Here is a 26,947-nt window from a genome sequence, read left to right as displayed (position 1 = left end):
CTCCACAACCCCTTATCTTAACCCAGACACTCCTTTCTATGAACCTGGTCTTCAGATAGCCAATTGCCAATCAGAAAATCGCTGAATCCGCCTGTGACCTGTAAGCACCGCTTGGAGTTGTCCCGCCTTTCCTGACAGAACCAGTGTACACTTTACATGTATTGACTGATGTCTTAAGTCTTCCCAAAACGTGTAAAATCAAGCTGTAACCCAACCACCTTGGATACATGTTCTTAGGACCTCTTCAGACAGTACCTTGGCCTTCCTCACTCATATTTGGCTCAGAATAAACTTCTAAATATTTTACAGTTTGACTCTTCGTAAACATGGATGAATCACAAAAGCATTACGCTTTTGAGGAGCCAGTCACAAAAGGTTATATCATACTGTATGATTCCATTTATATACCATTTCTAAAAAGAGAAAACTAGGTTTCAAGAGCAGATCAGTCCTTGCCAAGGATCCAGGTGTCGGAGGGAGTGACCATAAAGCAAATGAAGCACAGAAGAGAATGGCAGCACAAGGAGTTTCAGGGTGGGACAGGGCTCTTCCGTATCCTGGTTACAGTGGTTACTACACGTATACATACATATGTGAAAATTCATAGAACTTTACACCCAAAGAAACGTTAGTTTTTTTGTTTGTTTGTTTTTGGTTTTTTTGAGATGGAGTCTCCCTCTGTCGCCCAGGCTGGAGTGCAGTGGCGCGATCTCGGCTCACTGCAAGCTCCGCCTCCCGGGTTCACGCCACTCTCCCGACTCAGCCTCCCTAGGAGCTGGGACTACAGGCGCCCGCCACAACGCTCGGCTATTTTTTTTTTTTTTTTTTTTGTATTTTTAGTAGAGACGGGGTTTCGCCGTTAGCCAGGATGGTCTCGCTCTCCTGACCTCGTGATCCGCCCGCCTCCGCCTCCCAAAGTGCTGGGATTACAGGCGTGAGGCACCGCGCCCATCCGAAACGTTAGTTTTAATGTAAGGTTTTTTTTTTTTAACCCTTTAATCAGTAAGGTGCATCTACATTTCACGATTCCGGGACAAATACAGATGTGCACACGCTCCTCAGCCTATGCAGGGACTACTTTCTCATGGACATCCTTTCTAACTACACACTTTTCATTTGTTACTTTAGCCTGACACCTAAAACATGACTAGGACAGAATGCGAGGTTGATTTTCTGGGGACAGTCGCCACCCCCTTCCTTGCCCTCTCTCTCCTTTCTGTCTCTCCCTGGTTTCCCCTTCTGCGTCTTCCCACCTCTCCCGTTTTTGCGTCTTCGTGTTTCTCACGCCCTGTGTCATGGCCTCCTCCGTCTTCTCCCGCTCTGTCACAGTCTCCCGCCGGGGGCTAGGGGTGCCCGGCCCGCATCCCTGGGCGACCCTGAGTCCCCGCAGGCGGCCCCGAGGCCGGGGTGGCTTCCGCATGGGGTCTCTGCCCGAGGCCTTTCTCTGCCAAGGAGGGAGTGTGGACGCTCGGGGAGCCCAGAAGGGCGCTGCACCCACGGGGACCGGACGTGGTGGGCGGACCCCTCCTCCGCGTCCCCGACGGGACATGCCCGGGGCCCACACGGCCTCCGCGCCCCCGGCGGGACGGACACCCCGGGCCACCGCGCGCCCCCCACCACCTACCCGGCCTCGCTGGATTCCCGGGACCCCCTCACAAACGAAACCCTCGAGCTCATCCCTGACTTGGGGGCAGCTTTGGAAGGAACAGCACCGGACTCTCACCCTCTCGCTGCCTCTCAGTCCGGGTTTCTGTGGAGCGCGTCTCCCAGTCGCTGTCCCTACTCTCTCCCTGTTCCTGCTCTCTCCATGTTCACCTGCCCCTCCGTTTCCCCTCCCGTCAGCTCCCTCATCTCGTCTTCGACCGCATCCCTCGCATGCAGATCCGGGAGTCCAAGGGTCCCTCAAAGACCGGCGTGCTGCGGCCCGCACGGAGGGTGCCCGGGCCCCTCCTCTGAGGACCGACTCCCTCTGGCGGCGCCGCTCCTCCCGCCCGCAGGGGGCGCTATGGGGCGGAGCGGCTTCCGCTTCCGAGCGCCGAGTCCCAGCATGCACCGCGCCCGGCCGGCTCTGCCTTTGGGGGCCAGCAGGGCTGTACCTGGGAGTTGGGTTGGGGCGGAGCGGAGGGGAGGCCGTGCCAGGCAGGGCCGGTTCGTGCGGAACCGCCATGGCCGAGCCGGCTTCGGTAAGAAGGGCCGGTGGAGGATGCAGGCTCTGTCGAAACTCGGGTCCCTGTCGCAGCTGGATTGGGGTCCGCGTCCAGGGAGTGGGGCGGCCGGGGCCTGGGCCTGGGGGTTGGCAGTGGCCCACGGACTGAGCTCCGGGCTGGGCTGGAGAAGGTGCAGTCTTGCTGCGTGTGCTGTTCTGGAATTGACCTGGGGAAAAGCTGGTCTGGCCGGGCTTGGCCGCGCGCGTCTGTGGCCCCGGCCACTCGGAAGGCTGAGGCGGGAGCAGCGCTTGAGCCCGGGAGCTCTGCGCTGTATATGCGCTAGGTCCGTCGCGCGGTGCCTCTGAGTTCTGCATCTGTGTGGTGACCTCTCGGGAGCGGGGACCACCAGGTTCCCCAGGGAGGGGGAACCGGCCCAGCTCGGAAACCGAGCAGGGCAAAACCCCAGTGCTGATCGTTAGTGGGATCGCGCCTGTGAATAGCCACTGCCCTCCAGCCTGGGCAACAGCCAGACCCCGTCTGTTTAATACATAAATAAAAGTTGGTTTGGGAGAAAGAATCCGGGTGGGAAAGATCTGTTTCTCGGCCTGTTGTAGGCTCAGATCAACAACGCTGTCCCTGCCTTCAGTGTCGGGGCTCTGAACCTCGGGGTCTCTCTGGGGCCCGTGCTCTCCTGCTGAAGGTAGTTTCAGAGAAGCACATCAGTGTTAAGCAGATGAGAAAAAGGAGAAGGAAAGCTGGAACTGAGAGAAATTGGAGACCGCTCCCTCTAGGAAAGGACAGAAAACTTAAAATGAATTGGGTGGTTAGCGTAAATCGAATTTACCGTAAATGCTGTAGTATTGTAATGTAGTATTGAAAATTTGAGCACCGGTTTTAGAGTTTGAAAGGCGTATCCTGAGGCTTAATCCAAGAAACCCTGTTACATTCAGTTAAGTATAACTTGCTTAAGTGTGCAAGTTTTTCTTGTGCCCCCAATGAAATTTTATAATCTTAGGAATGTAATGCTCCTTATTTGCATTTGATTCTTCCCTTTTGCTTCCCACTCCTTTTCCCCACCCTCCTTTGGCAGGTACAGATTCTTTTCTGATTTCTCCAAGCTTTGTTTCTACAGCCAGGCTTTCTTTTTTTCTCTCCTCTTTAAGTGATTGGGAATCTCCTGGAATATTCCTCTCTGTTCTGGGAAAGTTTGTGGTAGCTCTTCTTTGTACATTGAATTTATAGAAAATGTGGTAACAGTTTATTGGCTAATGTATTATTTGGGATAGGCAAGGAAAAATCGTTTTCTTGATTTTCCTTTCCACTGTAGCAGTTTAATGCTAATTGTAAATGTGGTCATAAATGGGAATTTTATAGGTGGAAAACACATGGGTGGCCGGGCGTGGTGGCTCACGCCAGTAATCCCAGCACTTTGGGAGGCTGAGGCGGGCGGATCACCTGAGGTCGGGAGTTCGAGACCAGCCTGACCAACATGGAGAAAGCCCGTCTCTACCAAAAATACAAAATTAGCCTGGCATGGTGGTGCATGCCTGTAATCTCAGCTACTGGGGAGGCTGAGGCAAGAGAATCGCTTGAACCCAGGAGGCAGAGGTTGAAGTGAGCCGAGATCGTGCCATTGCACTCCAGCCTGGGCAACAAGAGCGAAACTCCGTCTCAAAAACAAAACCAACAACAACAACAACAACAAAAAAATATGGGTGAGGTACAATAAAACTGTAGAGGAATTTGGTTGAAATCACATTGTAAAAATAACAAGGCCATCCGGACGTGGTGGCTTACGCCTGTAATCCCAGCACTTTGGGTGGCCAAGACGGGCGGATCATGAGGTCAGGAGATCGAGACCATCCTGGCTAACACGGTGAAACTCCCTCTCTACTAAAATTACAAAAAATTAGCCGGGCGTGGTGGCGGGGGCCTGTAGTCCCAGCTACTTGGGAGGCTGAGGCAGGAGAACGGCGTGAACCCGGAAGGTGGAGCTTGCAGTGAGCCAAGATCACGCCACTGCACTCCAGCCTGGGCGACAGAGGGGACTCCATCTCAAAAATAAATAAATAAATAGCAAGGCCAGGCCAGGCGTGGTAGCTCAGGCCTGTAATCCCAGCACTTTGGGAGGCCGAGCCGGGCGGATCACGAGGTCAGGAGATCAAGACCATCCTGGCTAACACGGTGAAACCCCGTCTCTACTAAAAAGACAAAAAATTAGCCGGGTGTGGTGGTGGGCGCCTGTAGTCCCAGCTACTCGGGAGGCTGAGTCAGGAGAATGGCGTGAACCCGGGAGGCGGAGCTTGCAGTGAGCCGAGATGGCATCACTGCTCTCCAGTCTGGGCGAAAGAGCGAGACTCCGTCTCAAAAAGGAAAAAAAAAAAAAAAAAGAAAAAGCAAGTCCGGGCGCAGTGGCTCACGCCTGTAATCCTAGCACTTTGGGAGGCCGAGGCGGGCGGATCAACTGAGGTCAGGAGTTCCAGACCAGCCTGGCCAACATGGCGAAACCCGGTCTCTACTAAAAATAGAAAAATTAGCCGGGTGTGGTGGCGCGCTCCTGTAAACCCAACTACTCGGGAGGCTGAGACAGAAGAATCTCTTGAACCTGGGAGGCAGAGGTTGCAGTGAGCCAAGATTGTGCCACTGCACTCCAGCCTGGGGACAGAGCGAGACTCCGCCTCAATAAATAAATAAATGAAAATAAAACAAGTTTGAACTTGTTTGTCATAATAGCTGATACTTAAGCTTTCAGGGCTTATGATAGTTTAGATAGAATTTTAGCTCTGAAACTTTTATCTCCAAAAGCCTAAGTGTTAAACGTCAGGTCTCCTAGATTCTCTTATTGGGAGACTTGTAGTGCTTCTGACCAACATTTTCTATATACTTGGGAAGAGCCTTAGCCATCTTTCAAGATGTCCAGTACTTTGCTAGTAGGCTGTCATCTATATTTATAGCACAGAATCTGAAAGGAGTGAAAATGGAATTTTCAAAAGTTACACATGTTCTGTTGCTTCCCTCTTGACACAGTGGATCTGTCCTCAAACACCCAGGAAGAGCCGCCCTGGTTAGTTCAGTCCATACTAGAGGTTGTAGGTTAATGGTCCATGAGCCAATCATGGCTTGCAGACATTTTGTTTGAAACACCCCTGTTAAAATTGGGAATTTTAGTTGCCAACATGAGTTCACATAAAATGATCTATGTTTCCAGTTTCTCTTTAAGAAAATGACACATCCCAGGCCGGGTGTGGTAGCTCACACCTGTAAATCCCAGCACTTTGGGAGGTTGAGGTGGGTAGATCACCTGAGGTTAGGAGTTCAAGACCAGCCTGGCCAACATGGTGAAACCCCGTCTCTACTAAAAATACAAAATTAGCTGGGCGTGGTCGCACATGCCTGTAATCCCAGCTACTCAGGAGGCTGAGGCAGGAGGACTGCTTGAACCAAGGAGGCAGAGGTTGTAGTGAGCCGAGATTGCGCCATTGCACTCCAACCTGGGCGACGGAACGAGACTCCGTGTACAAAAAAACAAAAACAAAAACAAAAAACCCACGTCTCAATGTAAAACACAGCTACAAAACCTGTAGAAGGTGACACTGGAGAAAATCTTTGGAACCTAGGGCACAGTGGGAAGTCCCTGGTGGTGTACCACCAGCACAATCAATAAAGGGAAAAAAGTGATAAATTGGACATAATCAAAATTTAAAACTTGCTTTTTGAAGGATCCTGTTAAGAGCGTGAAAAGATACGGACTGGGGCCAAAATTTGCAAACCACATATCTGACAAAGGACTCCTGTCTAGACTACATAAAGAGCTCAGCTAGGCAAGGTGGCTCCTGCCTATAATCCCAGCACTTCCGGAGCCTGAGGCAGGAGGATTGCTTGAGCCCTGGAGTTTCAGATTAGCCTGCGCAATGTAGCAAGACACCATCTTTATTTAAAAAAAAAAAGAATCTTCCTTGGACAGTTAAAAAAAAATCCAATTAGAAAATGGGCAAAAGATGGCCGGGAGTGGTGGCTCACACCTGTAATCCCAGCACTTTGGGAGGCCGAGAGTGGGCGGATCACGAGGTCAGGAGATCGAGACCATCCTGGCTAACATGGTGAAACCCCATCTCTACTAAAAATACAAAAATACAAAAAAAAAAAAAAAAAGCCGGCGGTGGTGACGGGTGCCTGTAGTCCCAGCTACTCAGGAGGCTGAGGCAGAAGAATGGCGTGAACCTGGGAGATGCAGCTTGCAGTGAGCCGCGATTGCACCACTGCACTCCAGCCTGGGTGACAGAGCGAGACTCCGTCTCAAAAAAAAACAAAGAAAACGGGCAAAATATATAAAGTGGCATTTTGCCAAAGAGAATATTTTCATGGGAAAAAACACATAAAAAGATGTTTAACATCATTACTCATTAGGAAAACCAAATTAAAGCCACAGTTAGAGATCACTATACACCTATCAGAACAGTTAAAAGTAGTGACATTGCCAAATGCTGGCGATGGTGCTAAGAAATGCTGTCTTATAGATTGCTGGTAGGAATGTGAAATGGCGACCAGGCATAATGGCTCAGGCCTGTAATCCCAGCACTTTGGGAGGCCGAGGTGGGCGGATCACAAGATCAGGAGTTCAAGACCAGCCTGACCAACATAGTGAAACCCCATTTCTACTAAAAATACAAAAATTATCCGGGCATGGTGGGGCACGCCTGCAGTTCCAGCTGCTCGTGAGGCTGAGGCAGGAGAATCACTTGATCCCGGGAGGCGGAGGTTGTGGTAAGCCGAGATCACACCACTGCACTCCAGCCTGGGCCACAGAGCGGGACTCCCTCTCAAAAAAAAAAAAAAAGGCCGGGCGCGGTGGCTCACGCCTGTAATCCCAGCACTTTGGGAGGCCGAGGCGGGCGGATCACGAGGTCAGGAGATCGAGACCATCCCGGCTAAAACGGTGAAACCCCGTCTCTACTAAAAATACAAAAAAAATTAGCCGGGCGTAGTGGCGGGCGCCTGTAGTCCCAGCTACTTGGGAGGCTGAGGCAGGAGAATGGCGTGAACCCGGGAGGCGGAGCTTGCAGTGAGCCGAGATCCCGCCACTGCACTCCAGCCTGGGCGACAGAGCGAGACTCCGTCTCAAAAAAAAAAAAAAAAAAAAAAAAAAAAAAAAGGAATGTAAAATGGCCCAGCCACTCTGGAATATAGTTTGGCATTTTCTTTAAAAACTAAACAAATACTCATCATATGACACAGCAGTTGTAGTCCTGGGCATTTACCCCAGAAAAATAAAAACATGCCCACCCCAAATCCTGTACATGATTGTCCATAACAGCTCTTTTGTTAATATCCAAAAAGTTAAAACCAAAATATTTCTCAGTAGGTGAATGGCTAATCAAACTGGTGCATCCATACCATGGAATACTACTCGGCAATAAAAAAAGAAATGAAATACAGTCCTGGGTTGCTTAACGACAAGAATGTGTTTTGAGAAACACATTGTTAGGCAATTTTGTGGTTGTGCAAACATCAGAGTGTGCTTCCAAAAACCTAGATGGTATAGCTTATTTCTCCTAGGCTACAAACTTGTATAGCATGTTACTGTACTGAATACCGTAGGCAGTTGTAACACAATAGTAAGTATTTGTGTATCTAAACATAAACGTCCAGTAAAAATGCAATATTATAATCTTATAGGACCACTGTTGTATATGTGGTCTCTCACTGAAGCATCGTGTGGCACATGACTATATTGGTAAACATGACAACTTGGATGGATCTCAAGGACATTATGCTGAGAGAAAAAAGTCAATTTCAGAAGGTCGCATACCATGTGATTCCATTTATATAACTTTTTTTGTTTGTTTTTTTGAGACAGAGTCTCATTCTGTCGCCCAGGCTGGAGTGCAGTGGCACAGTCACAGCTCACTGCCAACTACGCCTCCCAGGTTCAAGCAATTCTCCTGCCTCAGCCTCCCGAGTAGCTGGGGCTACAGGCATGTGCCACAATGCCCGGCTAACTTTTGTATTTTTAGTAGAGACGGGGTTTCACCATGTTGGCCAGGCTGGTCTCAAACTCCTGCCTGCCTCAGTCTCCCAAAGTACTGGGATTACAGGGGTGAGCCACTGTACCCAGCCAACATTCTTGAAATGGCAGAATTGTGATGGATAATAGATTCGTGGTTGTGATTATAAAGGGTTGCAACAAGGGAGCTCTTTGTGGTGATGGGATGCAGTTGTCTGTCAGTATCCGCAAGGGATTGGTTCCAGGACCCCTCACAGATACCAAAATCCATGGATGCTCAAGTCCCTTATATAAAATGGTAGAATTTACATATACCCCGTGCACATCTTCTTGTACATAAATCATGTCTCAATTACTTATAATACCTAATACAATATAAACGCTATGTAAATAGTTATGCTGGATTTTAAAAAATTTGTAGTATATTCTTGCATTTTAAAATACATTATTTAAAATTTTACTTTATTTTATTTTTTAATAGAGATGAGGTCTTGCTATGTTGCTCAGGCTGGTCTCAAACTTGAGCTCAAGCAGTCTTCCCACCTCAGCCTCCCAAAGTGCTGGGATTACCATACCTGGCTTTTATTTTTAAAGCAGTTTTGATCTAAGGTTGGTCGAATTTATGGATGTGGAACCTGTGAATACAAAGGCTGACTGTAGTTGTGTTTTTTGATTGCAGTGGTGGTTACATGAGTGAGCATATGCGATGAAATAACAGAATTATATGTACACATTGCACCAATGTCAGTTTACTTGTTTTGATATTGTACTATAATATACAATATGACCTTTTGGGTAAAGTGGGTGAAGGGTACATGGAACCTTTTTAAAAATAATTTTTGGGCCAGGCGTAGTGGCTCGTGCCTTAATCCAGGCGTGCCACCACACCCAGCTAATTTTTGTATTTTTAGTAGAGATGAGGTTTTACCACGTTGGCCAGGTTGGTCTCTCGAACCAGGCATGGTGGCACACCCCGTAATCCCAGCTACTTGGGAGGCTGGGGCAGGAGAATCACTTGAACCTGGGAGTCAGACTTTGCAGTGAGCCGAGATTGAGCCACTGCACTCCAGCCTGGGTGTCAGAGAGAGACTCCATCTCAAAAAAAAAAAAAAAAAATCTAGGCTGGTTTCAAACTCCTGAACTTAAGCAGTCCTCCCGCCTCAGCCTCCCAAGTAGCTGGGACTATAGGCACACTTACATGGAAGCCTTCTGTGCTGTTTTTACAACATCTTGTGAATGTATAATTATTTCAAAGTAAAACATTTTTCAAAAACTGACACATCCAGCAATACTAGACCCAGTCTTCCACAGCAGTAACTGGTTGCTGCTAAGTAAAGCATCCCTTTTTAGATGGTCTTTGTGCTCAAAGGCCTGCTATTCATTCATTCATTTTAGTTTATTTTTATTATTTTTGAGACAGAGGCTCACTCTGTAGCCCAGGCTGGAGTGCAGTGGCAGGATCTCAACTCACTGCAACCTCTGCCTTCCGGGTTCAAACGATTCTCCTGCCTCAGCTTCCTGAGTAACTGGGACTACAGGAATGTGCCATCACGCCCAGCTAATTTTTTAATTTTTAGTAGAGATGAGGTTTTGCCATGTTGGCCAGGCTGGTCTCTCAAACTCCTGACCTCAGGTGATCCACCCACTTTGGCCTCCCAAAGTGCTGGGATTACAGGCGTGAGCGACTGGGCCCGGCCCATTCATTCATTTTACTTGGCTCCAGTGGATATTTGTGACCCCTTTGTTGTTTATTTTATAATATGGCACCATCCAGAAATAATTAACATGTTTTCTTTCTGTATCTCAATAAAGTAATGGACATTGAAAAACAAAGTAGCCGTAAAGTAAAAATGTATGTGTATACTATTTGTGATTCCAGGTAACTGTGACATTTGATGATGTGGCCTTATATTTTTCGGAACAAGAGTGGGAGATCCTGGAGAAGTGGCAGAAGCAAATGTATAAGCAAGAGATGAAGACCAATTACGAGACCCTTGATTCCCTGGGTAAGATGAGCTTCTAAGGAATCACTTTTTAGGAACCAACCTAATAGTACCAGGCTTCCTTCCCTGTATGAGCCGTGGGCTGGTTGAATATGATACTGTGCCCAGTTTACATTCATAATGTCTCCTCCCTTTCCTATAATGGCCTGGGAATATTAAATTCCTTTTTATCCAGTGGTATCTTTGCCTTCAGTATTATTAATACTCTAAATTCTCTGTCTCCTACCTTAACCCTCCCCAATGTCTCCCACAATTAGAATTACTAAGTAATCTGGCCAGGCGCGGTGGCTCACGCCTGTAATCCCAGCACTTTGGGAGGCTGAGGCGGGTGGATCACCTGAGATCAGGAGTTCGAGACCAGCCTGATCAACATGGAGAAGCCCTGTCTCTACTAAAAATACAAAATTAGCTGGGCATGTTGGTGCATGCCTGTAATCCTAGCTACTGGGGAGGCTGAGACAGGAGAATCGCTTGAACCTGGGAGGCGGAGGTTGCATTGAGCCAAGATCGTGCCATTGCACTCCAGCCTGGGCAACAGAGCAAGAGTCCATCTCAAAAAAAAAAAAAAAAAAAAAAAAAAAAGAATTACTAAGTAATCTAATTGCCCCTTTTTTTTTAAAAGAAGTGTATTCTTTTATTTCTTTAATACTTTCATGCCTCCTTATTGTGTTGCCTGCCTGAATAAGATGAATTTCTCATCTTCAAGGAACTATTGGTTTCATGAAGGGGACAGAGTGATTAAGTGAGAATAAGCTGGGATGCAACATAGTGCATGGTGTGAATATAACAGGCAAGAAAAGGGTAGAGGAAGGGAGGAGAGAGCAGTGGGATGGGACACTTAGGTAACTCCAGGGACATACTCAAGGAGTAGATTAAAAAGATTAAAGAGAAATTTGGGGAAATTATAACTTGCTGCTTATCCGGCTTATTCTGACACATTCTTGTATCATTAAAACCATTTCTTTTTTTTTTTTGAGACGGAGTCCATACTGGAGTGCAGTGGTGTAATCTCCGCTCACTGCAACCTCTGCCTCCTGGGTTCAAGTGATTCTCCTGTCTCAGCCTCCCAAGTAGCTGAGACTACAGGTGCCCGCCACCGCGCTGGCTAATTTTTTTTTGCATTTTTAATAGAGATGGGTTTTCATCATGTTGGCCAGGCTGGTCTCGAACTCCTGACCTCGTGATCTGCTCACCTCAGCCTCCCAAAGTGCTGGGATTACAGGCATGAGCCACCACGCCTGGCCTCATTAAAACCATTTCTACTGGTATCAATATAATAAGTGATCTCAGTCTAGCCTGAAGGACTCATTCCCTGCTTGGGGGATTTATATTTTATTGTGTGAGATAGGAATGACAAGAATCAACCATGTGAAATTAGGGGGAAGACAATTTTAAGCAGAGAAAAACTAGGGCAAAGGCCCCAGGGTAGGAGTGCCTGGGCTCAGGTTGTTGAGACCTACACTGAGCCTGTGGTAGGATCTGCACAGAAGGCTGGTGAGGAAGGGCCCCAAAGGACAAGATAAGGAGTTGGATTTTATTCTCAGCACAAGGGGAAGATGATGGGGGGATTTAAACAGAGGGGAGTGATTTACTTTTAAAATGGTTACTTGGGTTGCTATGTGGAGAATGAATCATAGTGGACAGCAATGAAAGGAGAGACACTAGCCAAGAGTGTTGGCCGTTCTGGTGCGATTTCATGGCAGCTGAACCAGGTAGGTAGTAATTAAGACAGAAGAAGATGGTCTCCAGATAGGCTTTAGAGGCAGAATCCTAGATTTTGCTGATGGATTAGATGTGGAAAAAAAGAAGAATCAACTCCTTGATTTTTGGTTTGAGTATCCTGATGGCAAGTGGCTTTGTTCACTAACAGGAGGAAGGTTAGGGAGGTCGCACATTTGTGCCACATTACATCTGAGATGCTCATATACATTTCCATGGAAACATAAAGTATGTGAAACTGGAATTCCATGTTAAGGTTAGGACTGGATTTACAGAATTGGAAGACGTTATAGTGATGGTATTTTAAACTATGGGGCTGGTTTGGGATCATCCAGGGAGAATTGTGTAGACAGAACAGAAAGAGACCTGGGACAACAACTCATTTAGAGGCTAACCTGAGGACACCGAGGCCCAGGAGCCAGCAGGGTGGGACAGATGAGAGCTGTGTGCTGATCCAGTCTTGTTGTGAGGTATCACAATTAGTGTCCTTCAACTTGGAAAATTTAGCCAGATTTTTCCAAATTTTAAAAATCAAATGGTATTACCTGCCAATGATTTTCCGTATAGAACATCCAGATCCCAGCCCCAGCGCTTAGGATTTAGCAGGTTCGGGCTCAGGCCCAGGGATCTACATTTTTCACAAGTACTTGAGGTGCTGCTAATGCTGGCGGTACCCACTTCCCTTGGAGATGAAGCCTTGATCTGAGGGCTGAGCTGTAGCTGACACCACCAAAGGCTCAGAGGAAGAGGCTTCCTGCTGCCTACTCTGAAGACCCTCTACTGATTTATGGAAACCCTTCTTTTTTTTTTTTTTTTTTGACGGAGTCTCGCTCTGTCACCCAGGCTGGAGTGCAATGGCACGATCTCGGCTCACTACAACCTCTGTCTCCCAGTTTCAAGCTATTCTCCTGCCTCAGCCTCCTGAGTAGCTGAAATTACAGGCGTGCGCCACCACACCTGGCTAATTTTTATATTTTTAGTAGAGACAGGGTTTCACCATGTTGGCCAGGGTGGTCATGTTGGCCAGGGTGGTCATGTTGGCCAGGGTGGTCTCGAACTCCTGACCTCAGGTGATCCGCCCGCCTCAGCCTCCCAAAGTACTGGGATTACAAGCGTGAGCCACCGCACCCAGCAAAAAACCCTTCTTTTAGGCTTATGCCACTAGACTGCATTACTTTCTACCTCTTAATCACTGTTATTTAACAACCTCCTGTTTCTATCACTTCACTGATCAAGAATGTTGGTACCTCGATATTCACCAGGCGTGGGGGCTCATGCCTGTAATCCCAATACTTTGGGAGGTCGAGGCGGACAGATCACTTGAGATAAGGAGTTTGAGACCAGCCTGGCCAACATAGTGAAACCCCATCTCTACTAAAAATACAAAAAAAAAAAAAAAAAAAAATTAGCCAGCGTGGTGGCACACGTCTGTAATCCTAGCTACTCAGGAGGCTGAGGTGGGAGGATTGCTTGAACCTGGGAGTTGGAGGTTGCAGTGAGCCAAGATCACAACTCTGCAGTCCAGCCTGGGTGACAGAGTAAGACTCTGTCTCAAAAAAAAAAAAAAAAAAAAAGAAAAGAAAGAAAAGAAAAAAAGAATTTTGGTACCTCAATGGTGAGGATTGGATGTGAGCCATCTCATCAGAAAAGTTTAGTGATTGAAGTTCCCTCCTTAACTCCCTGTAAGTTTTCTTTTCTTTTCTTTTCTTTTTTTTTTTTTTTACTCACAGTGTTCTCATAATGATCACTTTTTTAAATCCATATCATCCTTAACTTGTCTGCTTCCTTTAATTATTTTGTGAAATATTGGGCCGGGCACAGTGGTTCACGCCTGTAATCCCACCACTTTGGGAAGCCAAGGTGAGTGGATCATGAGGTTAGGCATTCGAGACCGGCCTGGCCAACATAGTGAAACCCCATCGCTACTAAAAATACAAAAAATTAGCCGGGCATGGTGGCGCACACCTGCAATCCCAGCAACTCAGGAGGCTGAGGCAGGAGAATTGCTTGAACTCGGAAGGCGGAGGTTGCAGTGAGCCACTCTGTGCCACTGCACTCCAGCCAGACTGTGCCCTGCACTCCAGCCTGGTGACAGAGTGAGACTCCATTTCAAAGAAAAAAAAAAAAAAAAAAAGGCTGGGCGCAGTGGCTCACGCCTGTAATTCCAGCACTTTGGGAGGCTGAGGCAGGTGGATCATGAGGTCAGGTGTTCCAGACCAGCCTGACCAACTTGGTGAAACCCCGTCTCTACTAAAAATACCAAAAAAAAAAAAAAAAAAATTAGCTGGGCGTGGTGTTGCACCCCTGTAGTCCCACCTACTCAGGAGGCTGAGGCAGGAGAATCGCTTGAACCCGGGAGGCAGAGGTTGCAGTGAGCCAAGATCACACCACTGCACTCCAGTATGGGCAACAGAGCAAGACTGTCTCAAAAAATTTTGTGAAATATTGCAGAGGATATTTAAACTGAACAGTCTTTTTTTTTTTTTTTTTTTTAGACAGAGTCTCTCTCTATCACCTAGGCTGGGTGCAGTGGCACAATCACAGCTCACTGCAGCCTCAAACTCATGGGCTCAAGTGATCCTCCCAACTCTGCCTGCTGAGTAGCTGGGACCACAGGCATACACCACCGCACCTGGCTAATTTTTAAAATTTTTGGGCCAGGTGCGGTGGCTCACGCCTGTAATCCCAGCACTTTGGGAGGCCAAGGTGGGTGGATCACGAGGTCAGGAGATTGAGACCATCCTGGCTAACACGGTGAAACCCCATCTCTACTAAAAATACAAAACATTAGCCGGGCGTGGTGGCAGGCGCCTGTAGTCCCAGCTACTCGGGAGGCTGAGGCAGGAGAATGGCATGAACCTGGGAGGTGGAGCTGCCAGTAAGCTGAGATCATGCCACTGCACTCCAGCCTGGGCGACAGAGTGAGACTCCGTCTCAAAAAAAAAAAAAAAAAATTTGTAGGAATGGGGTCTCCCTATGTTGCCCAGGCTGGTCTCAAACTCCTGGGCTCAAGCAGTCCTCCCACCTCAGTCTCCCAAAGTTCTGGGTATACAGGCATGAGCCACTGCACCTGGCCTGAACTAAAGTCTTGGTAAGGCTTTATTCTATTGTCATTCATGTCATTTCAACGGCTTTCATTTTTTTGACTTAACTTTGATCTCAACGTCTCTAGGAATCGAAGTCAACTATGAAAATGATTTTTATTGTGGGTAATGGTAAAAAAGAGAGAGAGGCCGGGCACGGTGGCTCATGCCTGTAATCCTAGCACTTTGGGAAGCTGAGGTGGGTGGATCTCTTGAGGTCAGGAGTTCGAGACTATCCTGGCCAACATGGTGAAACCCTGTCTACTAAAAATATGAAAATTAGCCAGGCATGGTGGCACGTACCTGTAATCCCAGCTACTCGGGAGGCTGAGGCAGGAGAATTGGTTGAACCTGGGAGGTGGAGGTTGCAGTGAGCCGAGATCGCACCACTGCATTCCAGCCTGGGAGACAGAGCGATACTCTGTCTAAAAAAAAAAAAAAAAAAAAAAGGGTCACGGGGCTGGGCGCGGTGGCTCACCCCTATAATCCCAGCACTTTGGGAGGCCGACGCAGGCAGACTGCTTATGCCCAGCAGTTTGAGACCAGCCTGGGCAACGTGGCAAAACGCTATCTCTATAAAAATACAAAATTAGCAGGGCATGGTGGCGCATGCCTATAGTCCCAGCTACTCAGGAGGCTGAGGTGGGAGGATCAGTTGATCCCCGGGAGGCAGAGGTTGCAATGAGCCAAGATTGTACCACTGCACTCCAGCATGGGTGACAGAGTGAGACCCTGTCTCAAAAATAAAATAAAATAATAATGATAATAATTTTTAAAAATAATTTTTTTTGAAACGGAGTCTCGGTCTGTTGCCTAGGCTGGGGTGCAGAGGCGCGATCTCTACTCACTATAACCTCCATCTCCCAGGTTCAAGTGATTCTCGCACTTCAGCCTCCCGAGTAGCTGGTATTACAAGCGTGTGCTACCACGCCCAGCTAATTTTTGTAATTTTAGTAGAGACGGAGTTTGCTGTGTTGGCCAGGCTGGTCTCTAACTCCTGACCTCAAGAGATCTGCCTGCCTTGGCCTCCCAAAGTGCTGGGATTACAGGCGTGAGCCACCACACCCGGCCAAAAAAATTATTTAAGTATGCAGTAAACTCAAAGTCTGTGTGGACTCTATTTGCAGGGTATGCTTTTTCCAAGCCAGATTTGATCACATGGATGGAACAAGGGAGAATGCTATTAATCAGCGAACAGGGATGCTTAGATAAAACAAGAAGGACAACTAGCCCTCCTACTGATGAACAGTTGAACATGAAGAATACTGGAAAGTTGCTATGTTTTGGTGAGTAAGATGGATTTAAGATCATGAATTATTTTATTTTCCTAGCCTTGTTTCCTGAATCTTTCTTTTTGGATATCTGACTAGATCTAGTCAATAAAAAAAGTTGTTTTGATGGAGAATGTTAGTTTTCTTTACTCAAGAGGGTAGCAAATGTGGGCTGGGCGTGGTGGCTCATGCCTGTAATCTCAGCACTTTAGGAGGCTGAGGTGGGTGGATCACCTGAGGTCAGGAGTTCCAGACCAGCCTGGCCAACATGGTAAAACCCCATCTCTACTAAAAATACAAAAAAATTAGCTGGGCGTGGTGGCAGGCACCCACAATCCCAGCTACTCTGGAGGCTGAGGCAGGAGAATTGTTTGAACGTGGGAGGCGGAGGTTGTGGTGAGCCAATGTCATGCCATTGCACTCCAGCCTGGGAGACAGAGCGAGACTCCATCTCAAAAAAAGAGAGGGTAGCAAATGTGAGACTGTATTATGTATTACTCTCATACAGAAAGTTTTATATAGATATATAATTTTTTTTTTTTTTTTTTTTTTTTTTTTTTTAGACAGAGTCTTGCTCTGTCACCCAGGGTGGAGCCCAACTGTGCAATCTCGGCTCACTGCAACCTCTGCCTCCCGGGTTCCAGGGATTCTCCTTCCTCAGCCTCCAGAGTAGCTGGGACTACAGATGCCTGCCACCACACCTGGCTAATTTTTTTGTATTTTTAGTAGAGAAGGGGTTTCACCATATTGGCCAGGCTGGTCTCAAACTCCTGACCTTGTGATCCATCCAACTCGGCCTCCCAAAGTGCTGGGATTACAGGCATGAGCCACCGCGCCCGACACCCGGCTAATTTTTTGTATTTTTAGTAGAGACAGTGTTTCGCCATATTGGCCAGTCTGGTCTCAAACTCCCGACCTCAAGTGATCCACCCATTTGCTCTTCCAAAGTGCTGGGATTATAGACGTGAGCCACCATGCCTGGTGTGGTGATATATGTTATTTAAAAAAAAACAAATCCTGGGAAGAAGATGACAATTCCTTGTAAAGGGCAAGGGATGGCCGGGCGTGATGGCTCATGCCTGTAATCCTAGCACCTTGGTAGGTCAAGGCGGGTGGATCACCTGAGGTCAGGGGTTCGAGACCAGCCTGGCCAACATGGCGAAACCCCCTCTCTACTAAAAATACAAAAATTAGCCGGGGGTGTTGGCGCATGCCTGTAATCCCAGCTACTCGCGAGGCTGAGGCAGGAGAATTGCTGGAATGCAGGAGGCGGAGTTTGCAGTGAGCCGAGATTGCACCACTGCACTCCAGCCTGGGCGACAGAGTGGGACTCCGTCTCAAAAAAAAAAAAAAAAGAACAAGGGATCCATTTGTCAAAACCCTGAGAGGAAAAACCACTCCTTGTCACACTGTCATGTCCATTTGAATATACAGAAATGAAAAACCCTGTAATTTTGTACAAAATTTTTTTTATTATACAGAACTTTAAAACTTGGGTTTTTAAAACTCCTTTTGAATTCCTTGTGACATAAGGGAGTATTTCACTTTTTATAGTGCGCGAATGCTTTTCTTTTTTTTTTTTTTGTGAGATGGAGTCTCACTCTGTCGATGAGGCTGGAGTGCAGTGGCACCGTGTGGGCTCACTGCAACCTCCATCTCCTGGGTTCAAGCAATTCTCCTGCCTCAGCCTCCTGAGTAGCTGGGATTACAGGCACCCACAACCACGCCTGGCTAGTTTTTATATTTTTAGTAGAGATGGGGTTTCACCATGTTGGCCAGGCTGGTCTCGAACTCCTGACCTCAGGTGATCCACCCACCTCGGCTTCCCAAAGTGCTGGGATTACAGGCGTGAGCTACCGTGCCCGGCTGCACAAATGCTTTTCTAGGTTCTTGGGAGTCAAGGAATCCTCTGAAGCAGGAGACTTTGAGGCCAGGAAGTGTGTCCAAGCCCCATCAACAGGATAAAAGAATTTCCTGGTCAGGCGCGGTGACTCACGCCTATAATCTCAGCACTTTGGGAGGCTGAGGAGGTCGGATCACATGAGGTCAGGAGTTCGAGACCAGCCTTGCCAATATCATGAAACCCGTTTCTACTGAAAATACAAAAATTAGTCAGGTGTGGTGGCAGGCTCCTGTTATCCCAGCTACTCAGGAGGCGGAGGCAGGGGAATTGGTTGAGCCCTGGAGGCGGAGGTTGCAGTGAGCCAAGATTGCGCCATTGCACTCCAGCCTGGGTGACAGAGCGAGACTCTGTCTCCAAAAAAAAAAAAAAGAAAAAGAAAATAAATAAAGAATTATCAAGGGTTTCATTTCATTGACACTGTCTATTCATTCACTCATCTAACCAATATCGAGTGCCTCCCACAGTCACAGGAGTACGTTAGGCGAGGGCAAAAACTTTATATAATGTATGTGTATGTATACATATGAATAAAACAATTGTTATATTCTAGATGTTGATCGTCTTACTGACATGGCAATTAAGTTAGCCAATTATATTGAACTATACATAGTTGAATTAGTCAACTATAAAATAAGATTGCATATGACTTAATAAAATATTAAGTAATCCCTAATTCTGTGCTATAGGGATTTAGAGGAGAAGGAGCGGAGGAGAGAGAGCAATATCCCAGGAGGACTCTAAAAGGAATTAGGATATAAATAGCAAAAAATGGGCAGATTTGGTTAGAGAAAGAAGAATCAGTAGGGGTCATACATGAACTGAAGCTCAAAGACAGGAACAAATCTATTACATTTAGAAAACAGAGAAGACTAGGCTGGGTGCCGTGGCTCATGCCTGTAATCCCAGCACTTTGGGAGGCTGAGGAGGGTGGATCACGAGGTCGAGAGATCGAGACCAGCCTGGCTAACATGGTGAAACCCCTATCTCTACTAAAAATACAAAAATTAGCCAGGCGTGGTGGCAGCTGCCTGTAGTCCCAGCTACTGAGGAGGGTGAGACAGGAGAATGGCGTGAACCCGGGAGGCGGAGGTTGCAGTGAGCCAAGATCGCGCCACTGCACTCCAGCCTGGCAACAGAGCGAGACTCCGTTTCAAAAAAAAAAAAAAAGAAAGAAAAAAGAAAACAGAGAAGACACCAACCTGCCTGTAACTGAATGTTACTCTCTTGGGACATAGTGGGACATGGGAGGAAAAACATAAATTGGTGTTAGACGACGTGAGGCCAGGATTGCCAAGGTGGAAAGTTTGACTTCATCCTATAGAATGGGAGGAGCTTGGGAAGATTTTTATTTTTTTTCTTAGACAGAGTCTTGCTATGTCACCAAACTGGAGTGCAGTGGTGCAATCTCAGCTCACTGCAACTTCCACCTCCCGGATTCAAACGATTCCCCTGCCTCAGCCTCCCGAGTAGCTGGGACTACAGGCACACTCCACCATGCCCGGCTAATTTTTTGTATATTAGTAGAGATGGGGTTTCACCGTGTTAGCCAGGATGGTCTCCATCTCCTGACCTCGTGATCCACCCACCTCAGCCTCCCAAAGTGCTGGGATTACAGGCGTGAGCCACCACACCCAGTCCTGGAAGGATTTTTGAGTACCAAAGAGTTAACAACTTTGGTAGCTATCCCTAAAAATAAATGTTGTTCCCTTAGTACAAGGTGGTGCTCAGCCAATAATCACAGCTGCTCGTCTGCCTGGGTTAAATAGTAAAAGCATGTTTTTAGGAAGATTTAACTTCCAGTGATGAGGAAGGGGATTCAAGGTAAATATACTTTCATCACAATCCAGGCAAAAGGTATTAGTGTTAACTTACTAAATCATATGATCATGTTGAAAACATCACCTGTGTTGTCCTTAAGGTGACCACAGAGCATAATGAGAGTCCTCTGGGGGCAGTGTCACTTGGGTTTCCTCCCAGGTTAGGAGATTAAAAAATGCCAACATGGTGAAACTCTGTCTCTACTAAAAATACAAAAATTAGCCGGGCGTGGTAGTGGGTACCTGTAGGCTGAGAGTTTGCTCAGGTACAGTGGCTCATGCCTGTAATCCCAGCACTTTGTGAGGCTGAGGCAGGAAGATTAGTTGAAGCCAGGAGTTTGAGACTAGCCTGGGCAACATAACAAGACCCCATCTCTACAAAAAATAAAAAAAATTAGCTGAGCATGATGGTGTGTGCCTGTAGTCCCAGCTACTTGGAGGTAGGGGCTAACGTTGGAGGATCACTTGAGCCCTGGAGGTCAAGGCTGCAGTGAAATGTGATCATGCCACTGCACTCTAGCCTGGGCAGCAACATAGTGAGACCTAGCTCAAAAATAAATAAATAAATAAATAAATAAATAAATAAATAAATAAATGGGAGAGAGTTCCATTATCCAGTTCGACAAGACTTTGGAGGAAAAGCAGTTCTGAAATATAATGGCTTAAGTGAATATCTGCAATGGTCCTTTCCAGATCTAGTGGGTAATAATGATAACTCAGGTTCCTCTATTTCCTGTCATCATGTCTTCTACTTTGGGAACAGTAGTGATTATGCTATATAAATATATCATTCTTGGCCAGGCGCGGTGGCTTATGCCTGTAATCCCAGCACTTTGGGAAGCCAAGGCGGGCAGATCACAAGGTCAGGAGATCGAGACCATCCTGGCTAACATGATGAAACCCCGTCTCTACTAAAAATACAAAAAATTAGCCGGGCGTGGTGGTGGGCGCCTGTAGTCCCAGCTACTCAGGAGGCTGAGGCAGGAGAATGGCATGAACCCGGGAGGTGGAGCTTGCAGTGAGCAGAGATCGCGCTACTGCACTCCAGCCTGGGCGACAGAGCTAGACTCTGTCTCAGAAAAAAAATAAATAAATAAATAAATAAATAAATAAATAAATCATTCTTATAATGCAGAGTTTTTTGGAAAAGGAAAAAAATTCTACAGTGTTATTTGTGAATTCAGTAAGCTGTCATTTTTATATTCCTAAGAAAAATATTTTCTATTAGCATTTCTTCCAGAAAATCTTTCCTGAAATCTCTGGTAGAAGGGAGACAAGAATATGGCCCTAAGCTGTCCTCCTTAAAAATTTTTTTTTTTTTTTTTTTGAGACAGTCTCACTTTGTCACCCAGGCTGGAGTACAGTGGTGTGATCTCAGCTCGCTACAACCTCCGTCTCCTGGGTTCAAGAGATGCTCCTGCCTCAGCCTCCCGAATAGCTGGGACTACAGGCGCACATAACCACACCCAGCTAATCTGTGTATTTTTAGTAGAGACAGGGTTTCACCATATTGACCAGGCTGGTCTCCAACTCCTGACCTCGTGATCTGCCCACCTCAGCCTCCCAAAGTGCTGGGATTACAGGTGTGAGCCACTGCGCCTGGCCACCTCTTTAAATATTTGCCATTTATTTCATAGATGTAATGGTATAGTCAGATGATCAGAGTAACTCATTTTCACTGTCTCCAACTTCTGCTTACCCTATAGTTCACAAGATGTGAACTATGAATTTCAATTTGCTTGCAATTTTTTTCATGCTAAGTTATTTCTTAACACATGGTGAAAAGAATATAAAAGTTAAATATGATTTACCTGCAGGAGGCAGATTGACAAAGTCATTGAGATCAGTGGGATTCCCTTTTCTACTTTGTTAGTGACATGAAGACAGTCCTTGAATGGCTAGGCACGGTGGCTCATGCCTGTAATCCCAGCACTTTGGGAGGCCAAGGTGGGTGGATTGTTTGAGGTCAGTTTGAGACAAGACTGGCCAACATGCTGAAACCCTGTCTCTACTAAAAATACAAAACATTAGCTGGGTATGGTGGTGGATAGTCCCAGCTACTCAGGAGGCTGAGGCACAAGAATTGCTTAAACCAGGGAGGCAGAGGTTGCAGTGAGCCGAGATCACGCCACCGCACTCTAGCCTGGGCAACAGAGTGAGACTGTCTCAAAAAATTTTAGGCCAGGCATGGTGGCTCATGCCTGTAATCCCAGCACTTTGGGAGGCTGAGGTGGGTGGATCAGGAGGTCAGGAATTCAAGACCAGCCTGGCCAAGATGGTGAAACCCTGTCTCTATTAAAAATACAAAAATTAGCCAGGCGTGGTGGTGGGTGCCTGTAATCCCAGCTACTCAGGAGGCTGAGGCAGAGAATTGCTTGAACCCAGGAGGTGGAGGATGCAGTGAGCCAGGATTGTGCCACTGCACTCCAGCCTGGGCGACAGAGTAATACTCCGTCTCAAAAAAAAAAAAAAAAGGAAAAAAATTTTTTTTAAAAAAGGCCAAGCGCGGTGGCTCACGCCTGTAATCCCAGCACTTTGGGAGGCCGAGGCAGTGGATCACGAGGTCATCCTGGCTAACATGGTGAAACCCCGTCTCTACTAAAAATACAAAAAATTAGCCGGGCGTGGTGGCGGGCGCCTGTCGTCCCAGCTACTTGGGAGGCTGAGGCAGTAGAATGGCGTGAACCCGGGAGGCGGAGCTTGCAGTGAGCCGAGATCGCACCACTGCAATCCAGCCTGGACAACAGAGCGAGACTCTATCGCAAAAAATAATAATAATAATAATAAATTTTTAAAAGACAGTCCTTGAACCCATTTATAGGGTAGACATATCACTGATGAGAGTGATACTTCTTTCTGCTCCAGATGACGAAGGAACTCCCAGGACAAAAGAAGAGGATTGCCGTTTAAATGGTCCTCAAAAACAGGACTTGTGTGCTGCCTTACGAGGGAAAGAGAGAAAGATTTTATTAGCTCAAACAGCCACCTTCCAGTCTCCAAGTCTCCGAGAAACAGAGATTCTAAATAAAAAAGTCAGCATCACAGCATATGATCCAGACAAGAAAGACCTGCGGCATAAGCCTCGGGAGACCCCAGGGCGCTTAGAAATTCCCACAGGGCCAAGATGCTATTCCTGCTATGTCTGTAGGAAAGTCTTCCAAGTAAGGAGGGATTTGCTAAAGCACAAACGGAGCCACTCCAAGAGCCAGCTCTGCAGATACCCAAAGTACAAAAACTCGTCCAGAGGGAAGTCCGAACTCAGGCGGACGCAGAGGCTCCTGTGTCAGAAGAAGCGGTTCCAGTGCAGTGAGTGTGAGAAGAGCTACTTCCTGAAGGGCAGCCTCGTCACTCATCAGGTTGTCCACACCGGCCAGCGGCCCTACCCATGCCCTGAGTGCGACAAGACCTTCCGGTACAGGGCCAACCTGAAGAAGCACCTGTGTCTACACCGCGGGGAGCGGCCGTTCTGCTGCGGGGAGTGCGGCCGGGCCTTCGTGCAGCAGTGCGAGCTCACGGAGCACTTGCGGCTGCACAGCGGAGAGAAGCCCTTCCAGTGTCCGCAGTGTGACCGGTGCTTCCGCCTGAAGAGGGGCATGAAGGTCCATCTGACCCAGCACAGCGGGAAGAGGCCCTTCCACTGTCCCGAGTGTGGCCGGAGCTTCTCCCGGAAGGCTGCCCTGAAGACCCACCAGAGGACGCACAGCGAGGAAAAGCCGTTTTCTTGTGGTGAATGTGGCAGGAAATTCATCTACAAGATTAAGCTGGACGAGCACATCAGAGTTCACACGGGAGAGAAGCCCTTTTCGTGTCCCGAGTGTAACAAAAGTTTCCGCCTCAAGAGAAGCCTGAAAGCCCACGGGCTGCAGCACATTGGGAAGCGGCCCTTCCAGTGCCCGGAGTGCAGCAGGGGCTTCTTCTGGAGGAACGCCATGCGCGCCCACCAGCGCCTGCACAGCGAGCAAAAGCCCTTCCCCTGCGCCGAGTGCGGCAAGCGCTTCACGCGGCCTTCCAAGCTCGCCTGCCACACCAGAGTCCACGACAGGCAGAAGGAGTTTCCCTGCGGCGAGTGCAAAAAGACCTTTTCTCAGCAGTCGCGGCTCACGCAGCACCTGAAGGTCCACACCACGGAAAAGCCGTTCTCCTGCGCCGAGTGCGGCCGCAGTTTCCGCCGACGCGCGCATCTCACAGAGCACACGAGGCTTCACAGTGGCGAGGAGCCCTTCCAGTGTCCCGAGTGCGACAAGAGCTTCTCCTGGAAGGCCTCCATGAAGTTCCACCAGCGGATGCACAGGGACGAGAAGCCCTTCGCGTGCGGTGAGTGTGACAAGACCTACACGCATCAGTCTCAGCTCACCGAGCACCTGAGGCTGCACAGTGGAGAGAAGCCCTACCAGTGTCCTGAATGCGAGAAGACTTTCCGCCTCAAGGGAAACCTGAAAAGCCACCTGCTGCAGCACAGTGGCCAAAAGCCATTCTCTTGTGTGATGTGCGGCAAAAGTTTCACTCAACAGTACCGGCTCACAGAACACATTCGAGTCCACAGCGGGGAGAAGCCCTTCCAGTGTCCGGAGTGTGACAAGAGCTACTGCATCAGGGGCAGCTTGAAGGTCCACTTGTATAAGCACAGTGGAGAGAGGCCCTTCCAGTGTCCCGAGTGTGGCAAAGGCTTCCTCCAGAAGAGAAGCCTGAAGGCCCATCTGTGCCTTCACAGTGGGGAGAGGCCTTTTTCTTGTGATGAGTGTGGAAGGAGCTTCACGTACGTGGGGGCGCTCAAGACCCACATTGCAGTGCATGCCAAAGAGAAGCCCTCCAGCCTCTAGGTCAGGCCATGCAGCAGTCACGCAGTCGGCTTTCAGGAGGTGCCAGCAGCTCTGTTGGCTCAAGTTGAGGCAGGTTGAAGGATTCACAGGGTAAGATCGGGCACAGTGGCTCCCGCCTGTAATCCCATTACTTTGGGAGGCCCAGGTGGGAGGATCGCTTGAGCCCAGAAGTTTGAGACCAGCCTAGGCAACATTGCAAGACTCCATCTCTACAAAAAATATAAAAGTCAGCCAGGCGTTGTGGTGCATGCTTGTGGTCCCAGCTACTTTGGGAGGTTGAGGCAGGAGGATCGCTTGAGCCCAGGAGGCAGAGGCTGCAGTGAGCCATGCTCACACCACTGCACTCCAGCCTGGGTGACAGAGCAAGATCTTGTCTCAAAAAAGAAAAAAAATCACAAAATACTGGCTACAGACACACTGGACAGGTGTGTGGTCTGCAGAACTCTATGGCTCCTTGACAAAAGTTCCAAATAATCCATAGACAGTCAAAGAGACATCTCCCTCAATAATCGTCATAGGAAAGACGTGCCAGTTGTGGAGGAAACATTCACACTGATCTGCTAGTCCAACGATCTCTTCAGTGTCATCCAATAATCCCTTCATTAAATTCAGAAACTACAGCCTGAGTGAAGAAATGTTACAGCCAGGAACATATTCCTCAGTCAGCTTTTCCATTACCAGGCCATTTTACTTAAATCTGTATTAAAGTCTTCAGTTTTCTCTCATAGTGGATTTTCATTTTCTCTCAGATGGTGAGAGGGCTTCTGTTTCTTGGAATGTTTCCATATTGCTAAAAATAAATGTCTTCCACTATCTCATTTGTTAAAATGATTACCCATGTGTTCTTTCCTTCTGAATTTTACTTAAATCACCTAAAAGTCCACCACTGTGAGTAACAGGCAGTGTTATTTATCTAACCCCTCTGCATTTTCAACAGTGTTATGTCAGTTCTCAAAGAACTATACTTAACATTAGGGTCTCTGAGGAAAATACCAAAGGATAAAATACTGTCAGTCCACAGCACCACTATTTTTTTTTTGCCCTGTCGCCTAATCTAACATTATAAGATTTTCCAGGCTATTCTGGCAAACCCTCATCTGTCTCTCAGACTGTCAATCTTTGACATTACTCGTTTTTTTTTTTTCTTGAGATGGAATCTCGCTCTGTCACCAAGGCTGGAGTGCAGGGGCGCCATCTCAGATCACTGCAAACTCCACCTCCTGTGTTCAAGTGATTCTCCTGCCTCAGCCTCCCGAGTAGCAGGGACTACAGGCGTCTGCCACCACTTCTGGCTAATTTTTTGTATTCTTAGTAGAGACGGGGTTTCACCATGTTAGCCAGGATGGTCTCCATCCCCTGACATCCGTGATCCGCCCACCTCGGCCTTCCAAAGTGCTGGGATTACAGGTATGAGCCACCGCACCCAGCCTTTGACATTACTGTTAGGATAACTTACAGCCTTCCTTAGGAAATTTGAGTACCTTCATAAATTTTGTGTGTGTTGCACAAAACATGGTCCCCAGTTACCGAAGTCAGAATCTGCTGGGATCAAAGTCGCTACAAGAATCACAGCGTCGGCCGGGCGCAGTGGCTCACACCTGTAATCCCAGCACTTTGGGAGGCCAAGACGGGCAGATCACGAGGTCAGGAGATCAAGACCATCCTGGCTAACACGGTGAAAACCCGTGTTAAAATACAAAATACAAAAAATTAGCCGGGCGTGGTGGCGGGTGCCTGTAGTTCCAGCTACTCGGGACGCTGAGGCAGGAGAATGGTGTGAATTCGGGAGGCGGAGCTTGCAGTGAGCCGAGATCTCACCACTGCACTCCAGCCTGGAGGACAGAGCGAGACTCTGTCTCAAAAAAAGGAAAAAAGAATCACAGCATCTATACAAAGAGGAAAAAGGTGCCGCCTGTGTTTGGGACAGTCCTGTGGGTAGGGAATAGGCTGCTATTTATGTGGTACACCTCAAAAAACAAAACTAAAGTGCCAGTGATCAGATAAATGAAATGCCAACAGTTTAACAGGTAGATTCAGAACTAAAAATAAAATAATGTGAAAATAAAGACATTTTTAAAAAATGCTTTTCAGAAAGAGTTTTAAAAGATAATGGGTGAGGCACGGTGGCTCATGCCTGTAATCTGAGCACTTTGGGAGGCCAAGGTGAGTGGATCACCTGA

General features: G+C 47.6%; 2 protein-coding genes and 1 pseudogene across 2 annotated transcripts in view, besides 8 other annotated features; 2 read left to right on the top strand and 1 right to left on the bottom strand.

The window, feature by feature from the left end:
- Positions 1–1,971, bottom strand: part of ZNF398 (zinc finger protein 398) — a 56,635-nt gene extending 54,664 nt beyond the window's left edge. The window contains exon 1 of the mRNA NM_020781.4: positions 1,724–1,971. The gene's annotated coding sequence lies outside the window, so the exon portion shown is untranslated. The remainder of the gene's footprint in view (positions 1–1,723) is intronic.
- Positions 1,076–1,125: an enhancer, noted in NCBI's record as "active region_26808". NCBI's record gives its function as "activates an Ori minimal core promoter by ATAC-STARR-seq in GM12878 lymphoblastoid cells {active_cell/tissue: GM12878}" and the evidence as "EXISTENCE:reporter gene assay evidence [ECO:0000049][PMID:35858748]".
- Positions 1,286–1,725: a silencer, noted in NCBI's record as "silent region_18747". NCBI's record gives its function as "represses an Ori minimal core promoter by ATAC-STARR-seq in GM12878 lymphoblastoid cells {active_cell/tissue: GM12878}" and the evidence as "EXISTENCE:reporter gene assay evidence [ECO:0000049][PMID:35858748]".
- Positions 1,789–2,340: an enhancer, noted in NCBI's record as "NANOG-H3K27ac-H3K4me1 hESC enhancer chr7:148823131-148823682 (GRCh37/hg19 assembly coordinates)". NCBI's record gives its function as "activates a minimal SCP1, AML or CMV promoter by ChIP-STARR-seq in naive and primed H9 embryonic stem cells {active_cell/tissue: H9 hESC(naive and primed)}" and the evidence as "EXISTENCE:reporter gene assay evidence [ECO:0000049][PMID:30033119]".
- Positions 2,055–25,595, top strand: ZNF425 (zinc finger protein 425). The gene is made up of 4 exons (NM_001001661.3): positions 2,055–2,183; positions 10,031–10,157; positions 16,084–16,242; positions 22,813–25,595. The coding sequence occupies exons 1-4, from the start codon at positions 2,166–2,168 to the stop codon at positions 24,765–24,767; spliced, it is 2,259 nt and encodes a 752-aa protein (NP_001001661.1). The 5' UTR covers positions 2,055–2,165; the 3' UTR covers positions 24,768–25,595.
- Positions 2,341–2,892: an enhancer, noted in NCBI's record as "NANOG-H3K27ac-H3K4me1 hESC enhancer chr7:148822579-148823130 (GRCh37/hg19 assembly coordinates)". NCBI's record gives its function as "activates a minimal SCP1, AML or CMV promoter by ChIP-STARR-seq in primed H9 embryonic stem cells {active_cell/tissue: H9 hESC(primed)}" and the evidence as "EXISTENCE:reporter gene assay evidence [ECO:0000049][PMID:30033119]".
- Positions 2,393–2,686, top strand: RN7SL521P (RNA, 7SL, cytoplasmic 521, pseudogene; annotated as a pseudogene).
- Positions 2,457–2,630: a silencer, noted in NCBI's record as "fragment chr7:148822841-148823014 (GRCh37/hg19 assembly coordinates)". NCBI's record gives its function as "represses an EF-1alpha promoter that drives an FKBP-Casp9 reporter gene in an ReSE screen in K562 erythroleukemia cells {active_cell/tissue: K562}" and the evidence as "EXISTENCE:reporter gene assay evidence [ECO:0000049][PMID:32094911]".
- Positions 3,140–3,640: an enhancer, noted in NCBI's record as "H3K4me1 hESC enhancer chr7:148821831-148822331 (GRCh37/hg19 assembly coordinates)". NCBI's record gives its function as "activates a minimal SCP1, AML or CMV promoter by ChIP-STARR-seq in naive H9 embryonic stem cells {active_cell/tissue: H9 hESC(naive)}" and the evidence as "EXISTENCE:reporter gene assay evidence [ECO:0000049][PMID:30033119]".
- Positions 3,641–4,141: an enhancer, noted in NCBI's record as "H3K4me1 hESC enhancer chr7:148821330-148821830 (GRCh37/hg19 assembly coordinates)". NCBI's record gives its function as "activates a minimal SCP1, AML or CMV promoter by ChIP-STARR-seq in naive H9 embryonic stem cells {active_cell/tissue: H9 hESC(naive)}" and the evidence as "EXISTENCE:reporter gene assay evidence [ECO:0000049][PMID:30033119]".
- Positions 23,076–23,276: a silencer, noted in NCBI's record as "peak6837 fragment used in MPRA reporter construct". NCBI's record gives its function as "represses an SCP1 promoter by STARR-seq MPRAs in K562 erythroleukemia cells {active_cell/tissue: K562}" and the evidence as "EXISTENCE:reporter gene assay evidence [ECO:0000049][PMID:32103011]".
- Positions 25,596–26,947: the final 1,352 nt, after the last annotated feature.

This window comes from Homo sapiens, chromosome 7 (assembly GCF_000001405.40).
Source record: "Homo sapiens chromosome 7, GRCh38.p14 Primary Assembly".
NCBI lineage: Eukaryota > Metazoa > Chordata > Mammalia > Primates > Hominidae > Homo > Homo sapiens.
Note: the sequence above shows the minus strand (reverse complement) of the source record. Positions and strands in the feature narration are given on the sequence as shown.